Source organism: Homo sapiens, chromosome 8 (assembly GCF_000001405.40).
Source record: "Homo sapiens chromosome 8, GRCh38.p14 Primary Assembly".
Classification (NCBI taxonomy): Eukaryota; Metazoa; Chordata; class Mammalia; order Primates; family Hominidae; genus Homo; species Homo sapiens.
This window is the reverse complement of record NC_000008.11, coordinates 68,205,801-68,230,094: the sequence shown is the minus strand read 5'-3', so window position 1 is coordinate 68,230,094 and position 24,294 is coordinate 68,205,801. Positions and strand designations below refer to the sequence as shown.

Below are 24,294 nucleotides of genomic sequence, written 5' to 3'. Positions count from 1 at the left end.
TTTGGAGGTTTGCAAAACGTATTTCAAGTCCGGAAGGTGGTTGATGCACTACATGTTATCTCCATGCAAGAGGCGAATACTGAAATAAAGACATCTCACATCAGAAGAAGCTTATTTCATCCTTCCCAGAGAAAAGAATACATTCAATTGACCCGATGTACTTCAAAGGTTCTTTTGCAGCTGAAGAATATGGTGTTACTTCAAATTGCATTCCCAGGGCTGGGATAATGAAAGAATAAGGAGGCTCTTTTTCTTCTTAATTTCCTTCCTCTTATTTCCCTGACAGTGCTGCCTAATGATTGAAAAGGCACAATGGGCTTAGTCACGTAGGACAGGAATGGGAAGATGGGTGGCGAATGTCCTGCCCCATGAGATCTGGGCTGAGCCATCACATTCCATTACCTTGCTCAGCACGTTTCCACATAATGTAACTAATAGCACTGGGTAGACGAGTCTTTGAAATGTCTGCCTTGCAAATTGAAGAAAAGGCTACTCCCTGTGATCACCTAATGAAATAGTAGCTCTGGGTATTGTGGAACTGGGCAGATTCAGCTTCTGTGAGGCTTCTTGGAAGTGACTCAGGGTTATTTGAGTTCAAACACATTTGTAATGGAAATTGCAGAGCTTTGGGAATTCAGAACAGGCAGATGAAATTTCTAAGTGAAATGTAATAGATAAGAGTTGGACTCTCATCCTGCACTGAAGCATTTATTTTTTGGCAGATAAATTGTTGGGCAGAGTGAGGCCTTGGTCTGCCCATCATTTGGGGCCCTTTTGTATACTCATTCCACTCACATCAGTGGCCCTGCACGAAAAAGGTTTGGTTTTGGCCTTCTTTCTCCTATTCTTGTTTGAGCTTAGGTAGCCCAAATTTCCTGACCAAATGCAAATCTGCCAAGAGCAGAACTTTCCAACTTCATGCTATAGATGGTGCCTTTCACCTTTCTACACAGCAACAATAAAAGTTATGTGAAAGGAGACCACAAAGTAAACGCCTCTTTCAAGGTTAAAGCATCAATCATACTCTGTCCCAAGGCAATTCTCCCCATCTCACAAATGAGAAAACTGAGTCTCAGACAGGAAAAAACTCCTGACTAAATAAGGTCACATAGCCATTTTTTTCTTTCTTTTTTTTTTTTTTTTTTTTTTTAAAGAGACAAGGTCTCACTCTGTCTCCCAGGCTGGAGTGCAGTGGTACAACCATAGCTCACTGCAGCCTCAACCTCCTAGGCTCAAGCTATCCTTCCATCTGTCTCCTGAGTAGGTGGGACCACAGGCTGACAGCCCGGCTTATTTATTTATTTATTTATTTATTTATTTATTTATTTAGAGACGGAGTCTCGCTCTGTCGTCCAGGCTGGAGTGCAGTGGCGCAGTCTCGGCTCACTGCAACCTCCACCTCCTGGGTTCAGGAGATTCTCCTGTCTCAGCCTCCCGAGTAGCTGGGACTACAGGAGCATGCCACCATGCCCAGCTAATTTTTTTTTTATATTTTTAGTAGAGATGGGGTTTCACCATGTTAGCCAGGATGGTCTTGATCTCCTGACCGCATGATCCGCCTGCCTCGGCCTCCCAAAGTGCTGGGATTGCAGGCGTGAGCCTATGCACCCGGCCATTTTTTATTTTTTATTTTATGTAAAGACAGGGTCTTGCTTTGTTGCCCAGGCTGGTCTTGAACTCCCAGTATCAAGCAATCCTCTCACCTCAGCCTCCCAAAGTGCAGGGATTACACATATGAGCCACCATGCTCGGCCAATTTTTTTCACTTTTAACCACCATAGAATGCCCCCTCCTGGTTAAGCAACTAAAGAAAATCAGGTTTTCATAGCACAAGAGTTCCAGATTTTGTGACATAACAAAAACTTTATTTTGTGAATAAAGCCAGTGTGCTGGATGTGCAATCCGACATCTGGAATGTAATATTTGGTTCCTGAGGAAGAGGGGCTTATTGCCCTGAAGAGCCAATGTATGAAACTGGGAGGGGGAAGGTCCTTTGTACTCCCTCCTCACATACCCATTCTATCCTATCACAATACCCATTCACTTGATTCTCTAAATTTATTTTGTCTTTGTATTCTACTAGGCTGCAAGCTCTTTGTGTGCATGAAGCATTTCTCATCCATCTTAATACCCCAATGCCAAAAGCAGTTCTGGACACATCTTTTAGACACAGATTGCTAAAGGGGAGAATGCAAAATGCACTGGAGCCAAGGGTGTCCAAGAAACATCCCTCCCCAGAGCAGGCTTTACCTACCTCAGAATTATTAAACTCTGATACTCTGCTTTCTAGCTTTCTGATTTCCTAAATTATTATATTCACTCTCCCAGTAGTGTGACTATGGCTGATTGCTCCTTTTTGAATGCCAGAACAACCATCTCCAGTCCATAGCTCACTTTAGATTCTGTAGCCCCGCTTCCTCTGCTTTCTCTTCAGTGCTGACATCCCCTGAGGGTGTCCTGACCTCCTCTCATCTCTCTTACCCATACATTGTGGTAACGAAATTGATTTCTGTGTCTTCACCTACCTCCTAAATATCGAAGACTCATAGGACTATAGTGCCACCTATTCTTTTCTCCTTGGCTTTTGACCAGTGTATTCCACTGTCCACAATGTCCTCTCCAGGGATGAGGATTGATGCTCAATCTCAGTACTACCAAGCTGAGCTCCCCATCTCCTCCCTGTGCGTGTGCTTCCCTTCTGCACCCACTGTCTCAGAGGAAAGAACCACCAGCACCTCATTATCCAAGCCAAAGATTTGGTGGTCATCCTAGAATCTTCCTTTTCCCTAAACTCCTTTATCCAATTCGTGTCCAAAGACTATTGATTCTGTCTTCTAAACATCTCTCTAACCCATCCTCTCATCTTGGCCTCAATACTACCATAATTTTTTTTAAGCTCCTGCTTCAGTCTTAGCTGTCCTCAAATGGGCCATCCTGATGTTGCCAGAGATAAATTCTAAAATTCAAATCATCCAGATAAGAAGATTGCTTATGCATGCCTCCCTATTGTCTTCAAGTTAAAATCAAAACTCTTCTGTACTCCTACAAGTCTCTCTGATCTGGCTCTGCCTATATCTCCAGTCTCACTTCACATCATACTTGAATCACATTCAACCACCAGTCATTGAGGTCTAGGCATAGTTCTCAAAACATCACTTCTTCTGTGGTCCTTGGTACTATTGCATCCCCAGTATGGGACATGCATTACAATGCTGACAGGCCCAGGAGTATTCTGTGACCTCTTCTCTCTGTCCTTAGGCTGCATTATGTCCCTTCTCTGTGTTCTCATGACAATCTATGCCTATTTCCATCACACACTGTGTACTATTTTCATTCTATTCCATTGTTACTCTACTACACTTCAACAACTGGTGGAGGACACTATGTCTTTAGTCCTCTAGCTTTTAGCAAGGGGCCTGACACCTATAGACACACAGCAGAAATTCAATATATATTGCTCTGAGTAAATTTTTTAAAACATCAAGAGGATGGTAAGAGGAAAACTCTGATAAGGATGGGTTGAGGATTTGAATCAAATAGTATCTCAGACAGAGATAGCAAACTTCAGCTCCATGAAGATGTTTCCAGAAATATTATCCCAGCTTTGCTCATGGATGGCCTTACCTTGACTGCCAAATGTGTTCTTCAACTCACTGTCTTTGGGGCTGGAGTCCAGGTTCTCAGCTGGGAGAGATCCCAGCCCCTCTGTGCTCCTTGGCATTCTCTCTGCACCTCCACAGGGTGATTCCTGTTTTCTACCTTTCCTTGTAATTATGCCTTCTTCACCTCATCTTTTTAATTGAAAACTGTGTGAAGGCCAGGGCTATTTCTAATTCAGGTTTATACTCTCCTTGGGGCATAGCAGAGTGCTTTGCCTTTCTGAGGTCCTCAATAAATATTTGCAGAATGAATGAAAGAATAAATAAAATAAATTTTAAAAATTACTCTTGCTTTCTCTCTCAGGCCTATTACTCCCTTGTAGATAATGTCAACTTTATGGCTGGCTCATTTTATTGCGTTTCGTTTCGAGTGTTTTTAACATCACCCAATAAAGAAAAAAAAAGCAAATTCATTGGTTTCTTTTCTTGTGTTCAGCTTGCACACTGGTTTATTGATCAGGGTGCTGAAGTCTGATCCCCACCCCACTGTTTATTAGTGTTTATAGGTCTAGCTAAGAACACCTTGCTGAGCCATGGTCTTGTTTTCTTATTGGAATTTTAACACTTCACTGTGTCTATTATCCAAATATACCATGCTTCCCAAGGTGCTGGATGGAGAATGCGTATGTAAAAATAATCCTTTAGCAATATAAAGCCTTAGATTCTAACCTAATCAACTGTGAAAGACGACATTAACAAAACTTCAGGATTAAATAGAGTTAGGAGTCAGCACTAAAAATAAGTGCAATTAGAACATGAGTGCTCCAACCATTTTCAGGGGGAAAGTTTGTTTTCCCTTTGAAAGCACTTTCACTACCCACATGGTTTTTCAGAATGAAATATTACTTCACAAATGCTGCAGCCATCATTCCCACTCTGGTAACTGCTCTGTGAAGAGAAATAGTGTTTTGTCTGTGGCAGTGTTTGGAAGAACCTATTTTTTGTTAAAATACAAATGTGTAAAAGCAATCAAATGTAAAAGAAATTATTTAGCTTTTCCCCCCTTCAAGATAGATGGTTGCCTACCCTCATCACCATGGAAATCAAAACCAGAGCATTTCTCTGATGGCTATTATTTATGTTCATTTATTTTAAAGTCAATGGGAGTCCTTTCTTATGATGCTGTGTGAACTGTAAATATTTGAGATAACAAACAAAAAAATCATTCATTTCTTCATTCAGACATTCTTGAAATCTGTTCAGATATTTGATGTTTACTATGATGAGTAATAAATAAAATCCAAAGAAATATGTCTGCCTCCAGAAAACTCATATTCAGGTTGGGCAAAGGAACATGTGACAATATATTGCAACAAGATATGATAAAGTTTATCATAGGTCAATATGACAAGATGCTAAGGGAGTACAGAGAGGAAGGAAACTCAAGCAAGACTCCAAGGAGAAAATGACATCTAAGCTAGGTTTTGCAGTGAAATAGGAGTTTCCCATACAAACACATATGGGAAAGGCAATCATGCTAGAAGGAACAGCATGTACAGTCACAGAAGTATAAATGAAAATGGGATTTTGGTTGTTTGTCACAGCTGGATTTCAAATTTTAGTAGTGCCTGTGTGAGCTTTTCTTTTTGAATTCATGATAGAACTTGCAAAATAGAATAATATCCATTTATTTCTGAGAGCATTTATGTGTAATCACACTTAGCCATTGGGTGTTTCAAGGGCAATCTCCGTAATTACAATCAGTACGACACGGGGCACATCCTAGATCAGTTGCATTAGCGGAGGGACACTGCCGGGGAAAATGCTGGCAAATCTTTCGGGCAAGGGCAGAGCAGGGGATGCACTTACCTTGGTGCAGACTGTGGAGTCCGGTCTCTGACTCCCAAATTCTTCGCTGTGTTCTGAACTCTTGCTCCCTGAAAGTCAGGAAAATCACTTTTATCCCTACAGTGTGTTAGTAATAATTTAACATACCATTAACATTTGTGTGTAGGATACTTATTCAAACAATGTCTTTAACATCAAGGGAGATTAGCTAAGAGAAAGACAGACATCGCTGTCTGAGCATTTTCAAAATCAATGCTTTTAATAAAAATGTGCTGTTATGTTGCTTTGTCTTTATTCCTAGAAGCGATCAATACTTCAGATGTTGAAAACAGGCCAGGCACAGTGGCTCATGCCTGTAATTCCAGTACTTTGAGGGGCCAACGTGGAAGGGTTACTAAAGCCTGGGAGTTCAAGACCAGCCTGGGAAACATAGTGAGACTGTCTCTACAAAAAATAGAAAAATTAGCCTGGCATGGTGGCACGCAATTGTGGTCCCAGCTACTCGAAAGGCTAAAGTGGGAGGATTGTTTGAGGCTAGGAGGTTGAGGCTGCAGTGAGCCATATTTGTGCCACTGCACTCCAGCCTGGGAGACAGAATGAGACCCTCTCTCACAAAAAAAGAAAAATAATAAAAATAAATAAAAATTTTAAAAAGATGTTGAAAATAGTAAATGAGCAGACTATAAATACCTGCTCTGTGTTACCACTTTTCTGGAACAGAAATCACAGTTTTATCACACCTGTGCACTTGTTTTTCTCTTACGTGAATCATTAAGTTTACTAGTATTTAGCAAAAAAATATTTTCTTAACTAATTCTAAAGCAATTTTTGGACAAGCTATGTCCATGTGGATCTATGAAATCTAGTAATTCTGCCTCAGAGTTTATAATAAAATCTACTTTGGCAATGAAAAATTCTTCACAGTCTGTCAAGTTCATGAATGAAGTTATAATCACTTTAGTTCCTCATGAAAATTACTTACTACATAGGACCAAAGACCAGAGTTTGGGGTTTGGAAAAGGTTAAGGAGAGTTGTTCAAAAACTCTGAAACTCTCTCTCCAGCTACTACATTCTGAACTAAGGAAAGAAACAAGATAAAAAGAAGGAAAAAAAGGACGTAAAATAGGAAAACAAAAAGGGAAGGGGGTGTGGCATCAAAAAGAAAGGTGGGAAGAAATTTAGGAATTGCAATTAAGGACTTAAGAAAAACTATTTTGGCTAATCCAAAAGCAGTTATCTCAATTGACTGTTCATAGGCAGTTACAGATCAATTGAACTCATTATTCTGCTCTTTCCCCACTTTTCACCACTGCACTTAACCAGTCTTTAAAAACAAAAACAAAAACAAAACAAACAAAGAAAACTTTTTATTTTGAAGTAATTTTACAGTTAGAGGAAAATACAGACAGAACTGAGACTTCACATACTCCATGTGGCTTCCCCTAACGTTAACCCTTCACTTAACCACAGTGTGATTACTAAAACCAAGAATTAACATTGGTACAATATTATTAACTAAACTGCGCATCTTGTTCAAATTTCTCCATTTTCTCCCACTAAGGTTTCTTTTCTGTTCCAAGATCCAACCTAGGATCCCATATTGCCTTTCGCTTACCTGTCTCCTCACTCCCCTCCAATCTGTGACAGTTCCTGAGGTCCTTCCTGCCATTCATGACCTTAACACTCTTGATAAGTATTGGTCATTACTTTGCAGAATGTCTCAGTTTGGGTGTGTCTGATGTTTGCTCACGATTAGATTCAGGAAATGCATTTTGGGCAAGAAAATCACAGAAGTGATGTCATGCCCTTCTCAGTGCATCCTATCAGGGGATACAGGATATTGGCATATCTTATCACTGCTGACATTAACTTTGATCACTCTGGTGTCTGCCAGATTTTGGAACTGTAAAGTTACTCATTGCTTTTTTTTTTTTTTTGGTAGTTAATAAATATATTTAGGGACATACTATGAGACTATGCAATATCCTGTTTCTCTTCAAACTTTCACTCACTGATTTTAGCCTCTGTTGGTGTATCTTGTCTACAACAATAATATTGTTTTGTTTATGGACTGGAATTCTGTTAAAAAGAGTAATCTCTTCTCCCCAAATTATTTATTTATTCAAGTATATATTTAAATCAGTGTGGACTCATAATTATTTTATTCCATGAGCTATAATCTAATACTTATATACATTTTTTTTTTTTTTTTGCTAAAATTGTTTCAGTTTTGGCCACTGGGAGCTCTTTCTGGTTGTTTCTTGTGCCTTTTTAATATGCTGCCATCATTGTTTAGTACTCCTTTATTTTCTGGCACCTCAAGATGTTCCAGACTTGTCTTCCTTTTCTCGTCTGGTAATTTACCAATTCTCCAAGGGGCCCTGGCTATTTTTATTGGAGAATGGTATTTAGAAGCCAGGATTTGGACACTGAGTGTGCTCTTTACTACTGGGAGAATAACTGCAACTAGGCCTTTCCAGCAGGCAGGGCTAATTTACAAATACAAACATACTCATACATCTATATTCATTTCTACATCTATCCATATTTGTATGTGTCTGTGTGTGTGTTTATCAGTTCATACTGATACATGTGATTTCAATCCAGTAGCATAGGGTTCATTCCAGATTCCAGCCTTCTTCCTTTCCTTATTTGTAACTTTTTTCTCAGACAGTGAGAAATCAGCCTCTCGTTATTTACAATATCTTATTTGTTCATTCTTAGTAACACATAAATTAGTTTTAGAATTCCCAAATCATACCCTATGAAAAATAGATTTACTAACTAGTGTGACGTATTTGTGTACAATGCTTTTTGTCTATAGTCTTATAATATTTCCATTAAGTAATTCCATTAAGAAAAATGTTTGCTTTCTTAAAAGGTTTCAAATAAAACTGATGCCTGTCATGCTGAAGACATCTATTGGCACATTTCACTTTAAATTCATCTATATTGTTCATAAACTCAACACTCCAGCTACTTGCATTTTTACACTCTGGCTTATATTGCCATTGCTCCCTCTACTTAAATACTCTTCCTGCCCCCTTCCCTTCCTGTCTGCATCATATTTATCTTCCAAGTTCCAAATCAAATATCATCTTAGTTAATAATTGATTGGTCACTCACCATATCAGGTACTGTTTTAAGTGCATTAAGTATATTTACTTACTTAATCCTCACAACAACACTATGAAACAAGTACTATTATTATCCTTGTTTTAATACTGAGGAAACTAAGTACCAAAGAGGCTAAGAATATTTCCCTGAATCACCCAGATAGCCAACACTGAAGTTGGGACTCAAACTGTGGCTGCTTGGCTCAAGAGTCTGTTCTCTTTTATTCACAATAGCAAAGTCATGGAATCAACCTAAGTGCCCATCAACAGTGGGCTGGATAAAAAACATGTGGTACATATACACCATGGAATATTATATGCCATAAAAAGGATAAAATCATGTTCTTTGCAGCAGCCTGAATGCAGCTGGAGGCCGTTATCCTAAGTGAATTAACACTTGAATAGAAAATCAAATATTGCATGCTCTCACTTTTAAGTGGGGACGAAACAATGAGTACACATGGACATAAAGATGGAAACAACAGATACTGCGGACTCCAAAAGGGGAGAGGAAGGAAGGGGGATAGGATTAAAAAATTACCTATTGGGTATTATGTTTACTGTTTGGGTGATGGGTTCAATGGAAGCCCAAACCCCAGCATTATGCAACGTATCCATGTAACAAACCTGCACACGTACCCCTTAAATCTAAAACAAAACAAAAACTTGTTCTGTGCTTTTAATCGCTATCATAAATTCATCTTCTGCATGAAGCCCTTCGCCAGCTATCCTAGTTAGAATGACATCATTGAACAAGTATCTTTTGGCATTTACTTTGTACTAGGTACTATTTTGGGAAACTGTGATACAAAAATGAGTAAGACTTATCCCAGCCAGGGAGGGGCTCAGTCTACTCATTTGCTCCCTGTTCTGAGTCTTGATACACTGAGGTTGGTTACCCTGGAGAAACTTGCTTGCTTGTGCCCGTGGCATGGTGATTTTCCTTTGGATGTGTCCACCATGAGATAAGGCAAGGAGCATGTCAACCTCATGTCTTTGTTCTTTGTGTCCAGTGTGATGCTTTGATACTGAAGGTAAGGGGTCAGGGTACTTTGGAATCCCAGTTTTTATTAAAAAGGTTGAGAAGACATTTCTTTCTAGGCTGCCAACAAAGAACACTAGGAATATATAATTATGGCATAGAAAACTTTAAATTTATAATGTAAATGACAGTTTCTACTGCAAGCCTTTTATTAATCAAATCAGCTGGTTACATAAAGTGCTGCCCAAGGTTGTTACAATCATTAGCAAAACATCATGAAAACATAGTACCCTTCTCTTCTGTCTTTTATCTTTCCTTCAAACTCAAGCAGTGAATTAAAATAACAACTGTATGAAAAGTATATACACAAAATCTGCAGAGGAAAACAATATTGAAATTATAAATAAGAACAATAAATCATGCCAAAAAGTTTCTTATTCCCAAAAAAATTAAAAAATCTTAGTTTTTTCATTATATTATTCATTTATATATTATAAAACTTTAATAGTAAATATTATTCTCTAATATATCATAATACAAATTCGATAATGCAATAATGCAAATACTTCAATATATACTGAAGATGACAAATATCTAACCACTTGGTCTCTAAAAAGCTGAGTCTAAATGGTTAAGTAATTGTCCCTGAGGCTGAAAGGTAAAAAGGAGAGAAAACCCAGGCTAGACCTTTGATTCAGACTTGCATTCTAACTGCTCAAATCATAGGTAGGTAAGAGTTGGCTTGTGGATCGGCCCTCAGCCACAAATCTCACTGTCTGCTACTGCTGAATACTGGAAGGAGAATCCGCGACAGGGGACTGTTGAAGAAATCTCTGGGGCCACCAGTCTGCCCAGTTTCCTTAAAGAGGGTCCCAGGCTCTATGATCTTTCACAAAGAAGTTAAACCTTATTTCTTTGCCTCTCATAGCCATTGGGACGTCACAACTTGGGGCAGAGGAACAAATAACAAAGGAAGAAAGCTACCTATTCCAAATGTATTCATTTTTTAAAAAAATTCGGGGGAAGAACAAGTGATATATACTGACAAAATAGTGCAGTTTATATACCAACAGGAATTTTATAAGGAACCCATGACTTTTGAGTTTTAAAATTATACTATACTTACATAATACACATCAATATAGTAATACTATATAAATATAATTTACATTGTATTTTAAAGAGCTTTACACCAGTTAAGTGAGTCATCGGGGCCTGCATAATATCAATATTACTTTTTCTCTATTTTCTCTATTTCCACTTTTAGTTTTAAGAAGTTAACGTATTTGATATAATTATGACTATTCAAATCTATACAGTAGAAATGGATATGTCACCAACTCATAACTACCTCCTTAGTGGAATATTCTAAAAGAAAGTAAATTCCAGTCTCTTTTGCTTGTTATAAGCTATAATTTTGAGATGGCGCTTCCCAAGTCTTCCTACAAACCTACTCTAATAAGCAACATAATCAAACAGAAAGGCAATTAATTTCTTTCTGTATTTCTTAGCAACCTAAATCTCAACTCTGATATGGATAATCATAAGTTTACCTGGATCTACTTTTTAAAACATAATTTGTATATATATCCAAAAAGTCCTTCCTAAACCTGCTGGCAAATCACATCTGTGTTTACCCTTTCCAGCTGGCCCACAGTATGTCACATGCTTCTTAGCTCTAAACTTTACTTAACAAATCTCTCTTGGACCTTCTAAGATCTTGGTTTTCAATCTTCAGCTCCTGAGCCCTAACCAGAAGTACCAATGTATATGCTCTCTCTGTGCCTGATCTTCGCATTGCAGACACCAGCTTGATGTTGGCCTCTTCATTTGACTTTTTCATGGGCTTTGTTGGCATTCTGCAATGCAGTCTTGGGAGCAAGCCCAGAGGGATTTATACGTTTGCCTGCGAGTTAGATACTAAGCTTCCAATAAACAAAGTAGTCATAATTACAAAGCATATCTTAAAAATTAAATCACTCACTGTCACTGGGCAACTCAAACCAAGTCAGCAAGTAGAGAAATTTGTTAAATCAATTTCTTGTGGTAGCCCAAAGAAAAGGTGGTAGAATAAAATATAAAATTTGTCTTTTGATTTCTTTTGTCTTTCTGTGGGTTAAGTATCTTTTCTGCTAGATTAAGCACATTTTTGTAATTAGTAAATTGGAGCTTAGTGCATTTTTTAAAATAACTTTAAGGGGTAAAAACTAAACCGCCACACTTAGAATACTATTGGGCTACTGTATAGAATAAAGTTCATTCTATTTATAAGAGAGTATATTCTCGCCTATAAGTACTCCAGTGACCCGAAGACAGTCCAAAGACTGCTATTTATCCCCTAAAGGAAAATTTGAGGTAAGTGCTTTATCCTCAGAAAAATGTACACACTGAGTATGGCATGAATGTCCCTTGGCAGTCACCAGGAACCAGCAGGACCCTCAATTCTTTCCTCTTCTTCCTTGCTGCTGTGCCTCTCCGTCCCAAGCTTTACCACTAACAATTGCCAAAAAATGCCATATGTCCTTTTACTTGTTCCTTACATAAACGCCAAATTCACTGCTGCCTTATTCCACTTAATCAAGTCCCTTTCTGCCTGCAGATTACTCCGTAGACTTCCCTTTTTCCAGAGTTGTCTAAGATTCTTGCAGAACCTCAGACTGGTGCCTGCAGCATCTTCTCCCTGGGAGCATTTCTCATTCATGAGTTACCTCTGAGCCTAGTAAACTGTCCATCACATCCAGGCACCTGTCAAACCCCTGATAAATGAACAAAGGAATCTTCAAGTCCAGGGCCTACAAAACAACTATTCCCAAGTCTGCATGAGACCTACCTGCTTCCGCATCACATCTGTAGCCTGCATGATGTAACGAGGTGGCAGTCCGTGGCTTCTGGCCAGAATGATGGCTTGCTCCAGCGTCACGCTCAGGGTGCACCTGTGGGCCAAGGCAAGGGCAAGTCAGACCCCATGGTTCCTGATACACCCTTTGAGATGATGTGGATTACTAATCACAAAATCAGAAAGCACCAGCCAAAATAAAAGCAGCTAGACAATGAACCGCTGATTTTTCTACATAAAATACCAGTTTAAAAATAGATTATAAAGGTACATTACTGGGGTCAGAAATTAAGTATTTAAATTTAAAACAATCCCATGATGAACTGTTTATAAGAGCACTTATCTACAGAAAATTAAATAACCAGAATTAGAACAAGTTTTATTACTAAATATTATTCTTTAATGATATTTCATGTAATTTAGAAGAAATGACTAAAGAATATTTATCATTAACTTCTACATATTGATAGTTAATAGATTTATACTGATTTGTGCACAAATATAGCAGAAGAATAAATGGTGAAATTACTATTTACTGAGGTCAGAATTGATTTTTTAAAATGTGTTTATTGGACTCAATCTAAAAGAGTATTTGTAAAAGTTCCAAAAGGAACTCATAACTGGTTATATAGAAATGTGATACCCAGAGTAGCCCTGAGAAAAGTGTTCTAACCAGCATTTAGTGACTGGTGAGCCTTTGTTCTTTTCCTTCTCTCTCTCTCTCTCATTTTTTTTTTTTTTTTTGTTTTTTTGAGATGGAGTCTTGCTCTGTTGCCAGGCTGGAGTGCAGTGGCGCATCCTCAGCTCACTGCAACCTCTGCCTCCCAGGTTCAAGCAATTCTCCTGCCTCAGTCTCCCAAGTAGCAGTAGCTGGGATTACAGGTGCATGCCACCACACCCAGCTAATTTTTGTATTTTTAGTAGATATGGGGTTTCACCATGTTGGCCAGGATGGTCTCAATCTCCTGACCTCGTGATCCACCAGTCTTGGCCTCCCAAGTGCTGGGATTACACTGTGCCCGGCTGTTCTTTTCCTTTTCTTTAAGGCATTCTTTTATGTTCTTCCACATTGATCTCTACAGTACCCCTGAAAGCCTATGTTTATTTGTTAACATTTTCAGGTGCTGGTCTCTGAATTGTTCTTTTAAAAGTTCTTTTGCATGCACTAAAAAGAACATTAAAAAAATGTTCTTTTGCATACATTTCATAAAAATTGTCAATTTTAGATGCTTCTCCTAAAATTGTATTAATGGATTTTGTTTTGTTTTTTCCAACATATTTGTATTTTAATTAGCCTTTTCCTTATTTTGCATTTACCTCCCTGTAGTTTGTTGTTGATTTGTGTATTTTCCTAGATCTGTCTAGTATTTTTCCCTGCAAATAAAAGTAAGTTCTACAATGCAATTGTTCCTATGGGAGAAAAATCTAACTCATTAGCTATGTGGCTGTAACACAGAAGTTCTTGGTTATGAGGCTCTAACACAGAAGTCCAATGCATTTGGTAGGTTTTGATACTGATAATTAAGAAAAAGAGGAGAGAGGGATTTAAAACATTCTTGTTGTAATATTAGAACCTCACAAAGTGCAACTGTGTGATTACATATAACTGCATTCTAAGGAGAAATATGTAAGTTCCACTGGCTGTTAAATGACTTGAGAGGCAGCTTTCTCATTACAGAGAATTCATTATTATTATTAACACATGTTCAAGTTTCATCATTAAGTTCTAGTTGTACATGATGTTCACAAACTTTTAGTGTGTGAGTCCGATAACAATGCATATTGTCTTACATGTACATGCAAGCTGCAGAACAGCCTATGCCAATGAAGGCCAAGCAGTAATAACTAATAGTTCATGTTTAAAAAATCAGTTTTCAGCCGGGCACGGTGGCTCACGCCTGTAATCCCAGCATTTTGGGAGGCCGAGGCGGGCGGATCACAAGGTCAGAAGATTGAGACCATCCTGGTTAACACGGTGAAACCTCGTCTCTACTAAAAATAAAAAAAAAATCAGCCAGGTGGTGGTGGTGGGTGCCTGTAGTCCCAGCTACTTGGGAGGCTGAGGCAGGAGAAGGGCGTGAACTCAGGAGGCGGAGCTTGCAGTGAGCAGAGATCGCACCACTGCATTCAAGCCTGGGCGACAGCGAGACTCTGTCTCAAAAAAAAGAAAAAAAAAATCAGTTTTCTACAAAGCATTTAACTGCCAGCTTACTCAACAGACCATAACCTTTTTCTCCTCATTAAGGTCTCCTCCACTGCGATTTTAAATCTTTATTGATCCTAACATTTTAATCAATAATGTTCATTACACCAGCTGAATGAAGCCAAGGGGAGGAAAAAAAAAATCTTTATCTGTTTCTAATCATGCTGAAATATGTCTGTGCTTTACTGATAAAGCAGAACTTGCTTTATCTCTCGTGTACTCACTTATAAACAAGACTTACACACTGTGAAGGGTTTTTAACAGACAGCCTACAATTACTACTCATTTTCTTAATCCTTTTAAACTGATCTCTTTCTCCCTACCTCAAGTTGTAGTAAGCAGCAGTACAGCAGCAAATTACCCGCCAGAGATTTTAAAAGATTTTACTGCAATCAGGAAGCGAATGTGCCCAGGAACATGCTCTCTGAAAGGATACCTCCAAGTGTGATTTGCAACCAATCACACAATACCTAAGAGAAAAATCTACCTTCAAATGGATATGTGTATTTTCTTTCCCCAGCATTTCCAAAACAGATGGCTGCACCTTTATTTGTCTTTTCATGCTAACCATTATGTATCTTCCAATTAGGAATCAAAATTAATTTGAAATTTTAAAAAAGTAAAAAGTGTTAAAAAGAGGCAATCACATAAAGGTGGGAAATATTGCCTGTAATTTGATTCATGGTTGATGGGTCCAACCAAGGCCTTGTATTTCCACTCACAGCATCACAGAATTCTATTTTCCTAAACTAAGCATGCGAAAGAAAGCCTCTCAGGAATGCTGCCACTTTTCTGTCACTTTTATTTGCCCCATAGCTTTTCATCTTCTCCCAACTATCTCAATTTGAATGTCAAGTGGAAAAAATCAGCATCTGCAAGAAACATTCTGATGCTGGCATTCTCTGATGGACTCCAGGTCCAGGAAGGTGGCACACAGTTTTTCAGTGGTACATAAATATATACTCAGAGTCAGGTTTACGAGAGCTCATTTGATTTTACAGGCACTTTCTGATGACCAGAGAGATTGATATGCTAGCCCTGGGCAAAAGAAAGAAAGGAGCATATTAAAGGCCAGGAACCCTCATTCAATAGGAGGTTTCTCTTTTTTTGGAGATAGGGTCTCACTCTGTTGCCCAGGCTGGAATGCAGTGGCGCCATCCCAACTCGCTGCAGCTTCGACTTCCTGGGCTCAGGTGATCCTCCCTCCTCAGCCTTCCAAGTAGCTGGGACTACAGGAATACACCACCACATGCAGCCAACTTTTGTATTTTTTGTGGAGATGGGTTCTCACTATTTTGCCCAGGTTGTCTTGAACTCCTTGTCTCAAGCGATTCACCTGCTTCAGCCTCCCAAAGTACTGGAATTACAGGTGTGAGCCACCATGCCCAGCCCAATATGGAGTTTCTTACCTGATGCCCCAATCTTCTTTCTAACATGAACTCTGTTTTACAATTAAATTAAAATGTGAATAAATCTGTATTTTTACCCCACCTGGAAAATATAGGCCTTCAATTTTTCAGCTCCTTCTACTACAACATCACTTAAAAAATATTCACACAATTCTTTCCCTAGAAGCCACAAAATAACAAAATAAATGTCACAGAGTAGTATTTGTCCTTCATAAAAAGGCAATTGTAACATAGGCAATGAAGAAAATTTGTCCTTAATTTTAGTAATAAGACATTCCAAGTAATGGCTCTGCTTAGAGTATACATGTGAGGAAGCACACTTGATAAGGTAGCAAAGTTATACAGAAATGTTTAATTTCCCCATAGGAAGAAAAAGGAAAAGGTCAATATATCTGTGCTTATAATTAATAAATCTCCTTGACATATTTTGTACTGAGAATAGATCCCAAATCACTCAGATATTTAGCACAGTTTTAATATGATAAATGTAACCTGCAGCTAATGGGTCCCATTTAATTTGAAGGACACTTTGATTTGGCAATGCTAAGGAAGATGTATTAAAATATATTTTATTGCATGATTCTTTCTTTCATTTATTCTTTTGCCAAACATTTTTTGCCTGTCTACTTTGTACCTACAAATACCACAAGTTGCTGGCAGGAGTGGATTTACTGTGGAGCTACAAAAGCTTGAGTTTCAAGGCCCCTTACTTGTACGAATCCCTTTCCAGGTTCTGGGAGGGGCCTTAGCACTGTGTTCACATAGTCACATACCTTTACAAATGTGCAAAAGCAAAGTGTTTTAACTGCAAATGATATGGCTGCTGTCTTCTTTACATCCCAGCTTCCTTCTGTCATGTTGGGTAGCGTTCAATTCGCTGTGGTTATTTTTGAAACTGAGCTAAAGAAAGTTGAGTTGGGATGCAGTCAGGCTAGGTTTGCTGGGATGTATTTATTGGACAATAATTACTTTCATTTATGGCTGGGTTATTGTAGTATCCTGTGTAGAAATGGCATCCAGAGTATTCCTACTGCCCATTGTACACAGTCATCCAATGCTGGAAAAGAGGTGCAGGGCCAGAGGTCATGATGTAATACGTCCATATCCTGAGGCCCCCAGGATGGGAAATATATATGTTTTGGAGGACAAAAAGGTTGGAACTGTATACAGCCAGAAACTACTCTGTGGCATATTCTCTCAAATTTATGGTTCATATGCTAAAGAAACTTAGAGAAGTTTTTTCTTTTTTTGCATTTGACAGCAATTTAAAAATGTATAAGACATTAGTAATAACTCATTTTGATGTTGGAAAGCTTTGATAAACTCTTAATAATTTAAATTTGATCATCCATGCTAGAGAAGAGACAAAATAATTGTTCTATTCTCTCTATAGAAAATTATATTGCAAAGTTGTTATAATTTGAAGAGGCAAAGAGTATGTTACAAAAATTGTGGAGAAAAAATGTACAGAAGTGGGGCAGTTCATAAAGTAACAAAAATTATTGTTTTGTGGATTTTATAATGCTTGTGTTACTTATCAGATTTTAAACATTGCAATTTATTTTTCTTACATTCTGAATATTAACTTTCATTCCTATTTTGTTTTGTAATTTTCTAAATTCTTTCTGACTTTATTTTACTTAACTTCAGACCCCCAAGTCTCCATTACTCCAGTGTGTAGGAGATGCAACAGTGAACAAAGCCAAGTCCCATCTCTTTTGATGATCAAATTTTAGTGAGAGGACAAAGAAAATAAAGAAGCAGATGAATAATATCAGGTGGGAATGAATTACCCATAAAAATAAATGTTGTGGCAGATTAGAAAGTGGAATGGTACTAGCGAAGGGTGTAATGGCAGAAGGAGGTACTGTTTTGGGGAAGACCATTTCAAGGAGAGTTAAGTGCAAAGGCCCTGAGGTTAATGCTGGTTCAGTCTGCTCATGAACAAGTGTGGAGCTCAATATGCTGGTGCACACAGGGAGAAGGAGATGAGGGTGGAGAAACAGCCTGGGCTCAAACATGCAGAGCCTTGGGCATCAGAGTTTAGGAGTCAGTGGGTTTAGTTACTTCTCTGGTTGACATGAAACAATTTCTATATTTACATTACATGATATCAAAGAACAATTTGTTACGTAAATTACCAAAGTAATTTACTAAATACCCAACCATAACAGTTTATCAACACTGTATTCAAAGCATCTTCAGTTGCTTTCCAGTGGCAACATTTTCAAAGGCAAACTCTTCATCCTCTCCCACTTTCCACTTCCTTGTCCCAGTATCCTACTTACTCCCCACAACCCACAACTTCTTTACGCTTTCAGTCAGCATCTTAGTACCATTGTACAAACCCCTCCCCCAATCCCGTGTCCATTTTTACTCTGTCTTTCACTACTTTCAAACTATCTTGGAACCTCTTTCTGAATGCAAAATGGCAGCTGACAACAGAAGGGTTTGAAGACAATCTTATGGAGCTGTACCCAGGTTACTTCGACTCTCAGGCTGCATCTCCTCTGTGAATTGAGGAAAGCAGGTGTACTGACCTCATAAAGTGCAGCAAGAATGACCTGAAGTGATGAGTGTGATACCTGGCCATGGTAAGTCTGTGTAGAGGAGCCTCCTCTTTATGGGCAGTACATTATTTGGAAAAACTTATGGAACACAAGTAAATCCCAGTTTCTCAGATCTCATCATATTTCAACTATTTAAAAGGTTTATACTTTTATAGTCCTTTTTATTCTAAAGAGATGTTCATTAAAGTAAACCTGGAGTAAATTATGATGTTATAAGATTATAATAATTACATGAAGCTAAAGACAAATGTATGCCAATATTTGTTTTATAAACTGAGTTCAGTTAAAGTAGAGTCCACCTGACTATAATTTGGGCATTTGCTGATAACATTCTTTGTGATTGTTTTTTCAGGTGTTTGTCCCAGTTGATCTTAGATATCAGATCTTGAGTTTATTTTACACAGCAAACTGTAGAACTAAAGGAAGGTCAGGAAAAGCATGTGAACTGGTCTCCTCTTTCCCAACTGTATTTCTAGATGCCAGAGGTGTGTCTCTCGTCCCCTCCTCAACTAAGTCTCAGAAGAGAGACAAAGCTTCGTTTCCTAAATTGGCTTACATGCAAAATATTGTATTTCAACCATTTCTAACTTAGGTTCATTACACTATATTTAGTTCACTTTTTAAGATATCAGTTCTTACCTAAAGTGGATATTGTTTACATGTTAACCCTCCCCTTTAAGATGACTCAACATTTCTATAATAAATTAGATGGAAGAGTCTCCCGAAAACTACGGGCCTCCTACAGTTGGTCATTTACCATGATTGCAGACAAAAACAACCATTTTATTCTAAAATCACTTCTATATTTCAAAACCTCCAGAAGCCTACTACTGCCTCATTTAATATTGATTCAAACTGTACTGAGCAAGGAAGCCAATCTCTCAAGGACTGAAATGCATTTTATTGAGCACTTGGGGAGATGTAACACCCCTTTTGGGCCACAAGGGTGATTCAGTAACTCACAATGAAATGACATGGGAAACCAGAACAATTCGAGGTTTATGGTTCTGAGCTCTGTTTTCCTACTGTGGATTTATTTGCTAGCTCTCAGCATGCCCACTGTCAGGAACACTGATATTTTGCTTGGTAGCCAATCATTATATTGCTATTTCCTGAGGGCAACCCCAAACGTTTGTATTACTAGTAGAGGAGGGTTACTCAGACCCTAACACATTAAATAAAACACATGAAAATCTAGGGTGATGATCTCTGAATTTGTAGTCATGACAATTTGCCATAAATTGACATTATGTAGATGTTGCAGTAAAAAAATTTTTTAAAGTAATTACAAATGGGAAATGTAAACTTTAGTAGGGGATGCTTTTTATTTCCCCACATTTTTAAAATCGAGGGTGGGATTAAACATTAATTTGAAAACTTCTATAGTTCTCAATAATGCTACCTACAAAGGTACCACTAAAAATTATCCCTGAAAGAAAAATACACTGAAATCACTGAATTTAGGGATACACGTTTAGACTTTGAAAGTTACTTGAGCGGCAATTTTTAACTCTTTTGTACAGTAATAACATAACTGAATCACTTGGATAAATATGATCTTGTTTTGTGTTAGTGCAGTTTTATAATTAGCAGAAGAATTTCCTGTTAGTAAACTATGATATTTGGCAAACACACTACAGGCATATGTCAGGGTTTTCTGAGTTGAAGGGATCATGGTCCAAACAATAGTTTGATCAGCTGTAGAAAGCGTGTACTAGCCACAACCCCTTGAAACTCATTTTGATTCACTTGCATTCTTATCGAGGTTAGTTTGATTTTGTACTAAATATAAAGGGAAATCAATATTTGTTAACGAATTTGAAATCAGTAAGTTTTTCCCCAATGTAGAATTGGGGAAATCAGATCACAATCTGATTTTGTTTTTTAGTTTGGACTTCCACGTACATTACCTCATTTTCACTGTTCTTTATAACTATGAGGCTACTTTTAGTCATGGAAACAAGAAGGATTCAATTCCCCTGGGGAAAATGCATGCTTCAGAGATTATGTATATAAGGACAGTCTGAGAAACCTACTAGTGTGATAATATTCTTCACATGAATTATGTCTTTATATAGCTATAGATTTATATTTAGAATCTTACAGATTTAGTTCTTAGAACATAAAATCATTTCCCCTACTTTATGAGGGTTCTCCTTTTTCCTTCTTTAATTAAAAGCCAGGTCATTATCTTTCTTCAAATGACTATAGCAAACAAGTTATTAGTAATCTAATCAGATGTGGTTGTCTATGATACTTTACTAAGCTGAAGTTACCTGGGCAGCATTCAAATTTTAGAAAGGAATAATGACTATCTATTTCAACCCCAAGAGAACTAAGTAAATGCAATAAGCTGGAACATAGCACAGAGCAGCTACTCCTCCTATTTGTACACCACTCTTTTTATAAGCAGAAGCTTCCTTTTTTTCTTTTTTCTTTCTTTTTTTTTTTTTTTTTTTTAAATGAGTCCAGGTCTTGCTCTGTCGCTAAGGCTGGAGTGCAGTGGCAGGATCATGGCTCACTGCAGCAAATTCTTGCGCTTAAGTGATCCTCCTGCCTTGGGCTCCTGACTACAGGTGCCTGCCATTAATTTTTTAAATTTTTTGTGGAGATAGGGTCTCGCTATGTTGTCCAGGCTGATCTCAAACTCCTGGGCTCAAGTGATCCTCCTACCTTAGCCTCGCAAAGTGCTGGGATTACAGGTGTGAGCCACTATGCCCAGCTCAGAAGTTTCTTTTGACAGATGCAAGACACTGCTGATCATGTGATTTTATGCACTCCAAAGCAACATCTGAACACCCATCCTGGAAAGCCTGAGGCAGATTAGTTTCAGCAATCTTTGAACTAAAGATACATTTCTACATGTCGGAAGAATGTAAATGATTCTGCTCAGTTTCCAAATGCTTTTTACCTCTTCCTCTGCTTTTCTCGTGGTCCCATTTTATTCAGCTATTAAAAAATAAGCATCTGCATGAAACAGATGTGTTAGAAATTCACTGAACCTGATAAGAGAGAAGTTAAAAGAAATGAGACATAGAAGTTATTTAATTTCTTACAAATTTCTGTACCATGATTTTTTTTTTCAGTGGCCTCAACCTTCCCATTTTTTAAAACCTTGCCAGAGTGGGTGTGGTCAGGATTAAAATTATTGCTTTCCAAAAATCTTTGTTTCGTGATTTATGACTTATTTCATGTCTAGAGTAAGAAATGTTATAAACCTCCAAGTTATCAAATTAAACTCATCCATTACAAGAGATTAATGCATGTGTACAGTTCAGTGTGTTAATGTATTCACTACAGCACATTTCATGCCTATTAATTTCATATTTTATACTATCTCTCAAATATCTCCTCTCTAGCTGCACTAATATCATCTCCTGCCTAGATTGGTGCAACCTCACTCTAACCTTTCCTGTCTGGCCTCTTTCCATTGGTCTTCCTCCATAGTGAAGGTGACCTTTTTAAAATGCAGATATAAATACAAACACAGGAATGGCTTCCCATTTCTTCACATGAAATACAAGATCTTCACAATATGGTCCCTGTTTTCCTCACTTCTACTCCATACTTAAATGATTTTGTAGTTTTCTGCAATCATCAACTATTATAGTTCCCATATTTGTATGATCTCATATGCCCTGGTTGAAGTCACACACAGTATCTCTTACCCCACTGTTTCATACTCATCTGGAAGGTGTAGGGATTAAGAACATGGGCAAGAGAGAGAATTTCCTGAGTTGGACCCTGGCTTTGCTAATAACTGTGTGACCTTGGGCAAGTTACTGAAGCTCCTCAAACTCTGTTTCCTCCTCTGTAAATTGAATTTAATAATAATATACAACACACAGTGTTGTTTTCAGGATTGTATGAAATAATTCATGCCTAATACTTAGTATGAAGTATAGCGTGTCATTTATTCTCAATAAACGTTCAAAATTTTCATTACTATTACCACCACCACCACCAGGCTGTACTGGTGTCTATATTGACTGTAGCTTTTCTAGACCCTAGCATACTTCCTAGGACTCAGTAAGCATTCAATACATACTTATTTTAAAAATTACATGAATTCCTAATGTGTGCCAATGATATTATATCCATGCCCCTAAAAGACTAGATTTATTTATTTATACTCTGTGCTTTCCAAGTATTTGCTCAAGAAGTGTTCACTAATTAAATATATTCTGGGAAGTGATCAATGCATTATGGAGATAACAAATATTAGCAAAAAGAAATCACAGATTCTCTTATGGCTTCTAAATGGGATATGATTCTTCTTTCACAACCATTGCCTTGCATTTCCCTTTCTCTGGATTTTAACAATTGCTCCTACCACATCTGCTGGTTAACAACTCTGTTTGAATTATGGTAATACTTGAAATATATATATATTAGAGCATACTGATTAGTCTTATAGTAATTATATTATTAATTGTTATATCATCAAAATTGTCCATTTATTTATCGATATTTTCCTAAGCCAGAAGAACATTTTTGAAACCTCAAGAGAATTGTCAAACTGACAAGTATATATTCTTCCTCTCCATTGTAGTTTGAAAAGTATGTATGCTCTCCTTTGGGTCACTTAAAACCCAATCCTTGGACTATATTTTCTTGTTTTCATTTTCATTATTAAAAAGAACTGACGCTACATACTACGGCTGTCTGGCTTCCCAATGCGGCTCCACTGTCAAGACATCAGACTCTAAGAGCAATGAGGCAGGCATCCTGGGGTCTCCCAGGCTGGGGTAGCAAAGTGCTTGACACATAGCAGTGCTCCACAGTTTTTTCTTGCTCAACAAATAAATGGATGAGCAAATAGATGAATAAACGTCTAATTCTTTTTAAATCCTAAACATTTGTCTTCTGCCATACGCTCTTGGGTTTTGATACTAGGAAATAAAACCCTAGTCTTGAATTCAAGGGTAGCTCTTCTGCTGCTCTTGAATGCCTTTTTCAAAGCTCTAATAGGACCCAGCACTTTGTGTACTCCATTTCTTACAGATCAGAAGAGGTAACTTTTGTATTTTTCATAGTCCTCCCTATCATTCTCTCTGGTGACCCATTACTGTGATTTTTAATAGCTCTTACAGGGGTTATCCTATTTTTAGTAGCTACAATCTCATTTAAAACAGATGTGCTTCATATTTCTAGCTCTGCAACGAGAAGATGGATTCGCTATCAAAAGCACAGATTTCAACTGAACATTCTGAGTAGTCAGGAATGCTAGAACTGTACTAGCTGTTTTCACATACGCTGCTCTTTTAATCCTCAAGCCATCATTGTGAGAAAGAAATCATTATTCCCATTTCACCGATAAGTCCCTGAGAGACGAGGTGATATAATCACTCACTCCCTTGCACAGCGAGTAAACAACAGGATTCAAAACCCATTTTTGGACTCAAAATCTAGGACTCTTTCTACTCTACCAAATTCGAATCACGTAGATTAATATATTTAGAGAATTCCAGCTCCCAACATCCATAATTCAACAATCACAAGCTTGGTCTCAGCATTTATATTTTAAATGCATTGTTTAGGTAGACATCAATTCAGGCGGTCCAAATTACTTCACTGTGAATGTAGACTTCATCATACTAAAATGAGTTCATGATTAAAAAGAAACTAGGTTTGAAGCATGCTAAGTAAGTATATTGATTGTAAAGTGATCAAGTAGTAAAAATAAATTGAAGGGAGAATGTGTTCCTTCTTGACTAAAGATTTGCGTTT

The 24,294-nt window shown here is 37.8% G+C and overlaps 1 protein-coding gene across 2 annotated transcripts in view, besides 1 other annotated feature; it reads right to left on the bottom strand.

Annotated features, from left to right (window-relative positions):
- The window catches only part of PREX2 (phosphatidylinositol-3,4,5-trisphosphate dependent Rac exchange factor 2), a 284,987-nt gene that overhangs the window by 6,938 nt on the left and 253,755 nt on the right, over positions 1-24,294 (bottom strand). For both annotated transcript variants that reach the window (NM_024870.4, XM_047422267.1), the window contains exons 38-39: positions 12,377-12,479; positions 5,469-5,536 (exon numbers count right to left, since the gene is read on the bottom strand). In NM_024870.4, the coding sequence (NP_079146.2) occupies positions 5,469-5,536; positions 12,377-12,479 (171 nt within the window). The remainder of the gene's footprint in view (positions 1-5,468; positions 5,537-12,376; positions 12,480-24,294) is intronic.
- Positions 145-724: an enhancer, noted in NCBI's record as "OCT4-NANOG hESC enhancer chr8:69141606-69142185 (GRCh37/hg19 assembly coordinates)". NCBI's record gives its function as "activates a minimal SCP1, AML or CMV promoter by ChIP-STARR-seq in primed H9 embryonic stem cells {active_cell/tissue: H9 hESC(primed)}" and the evidence as "EXISTENCE:reporter gene assay evidence [ECO:0000049][PMID:30033119]".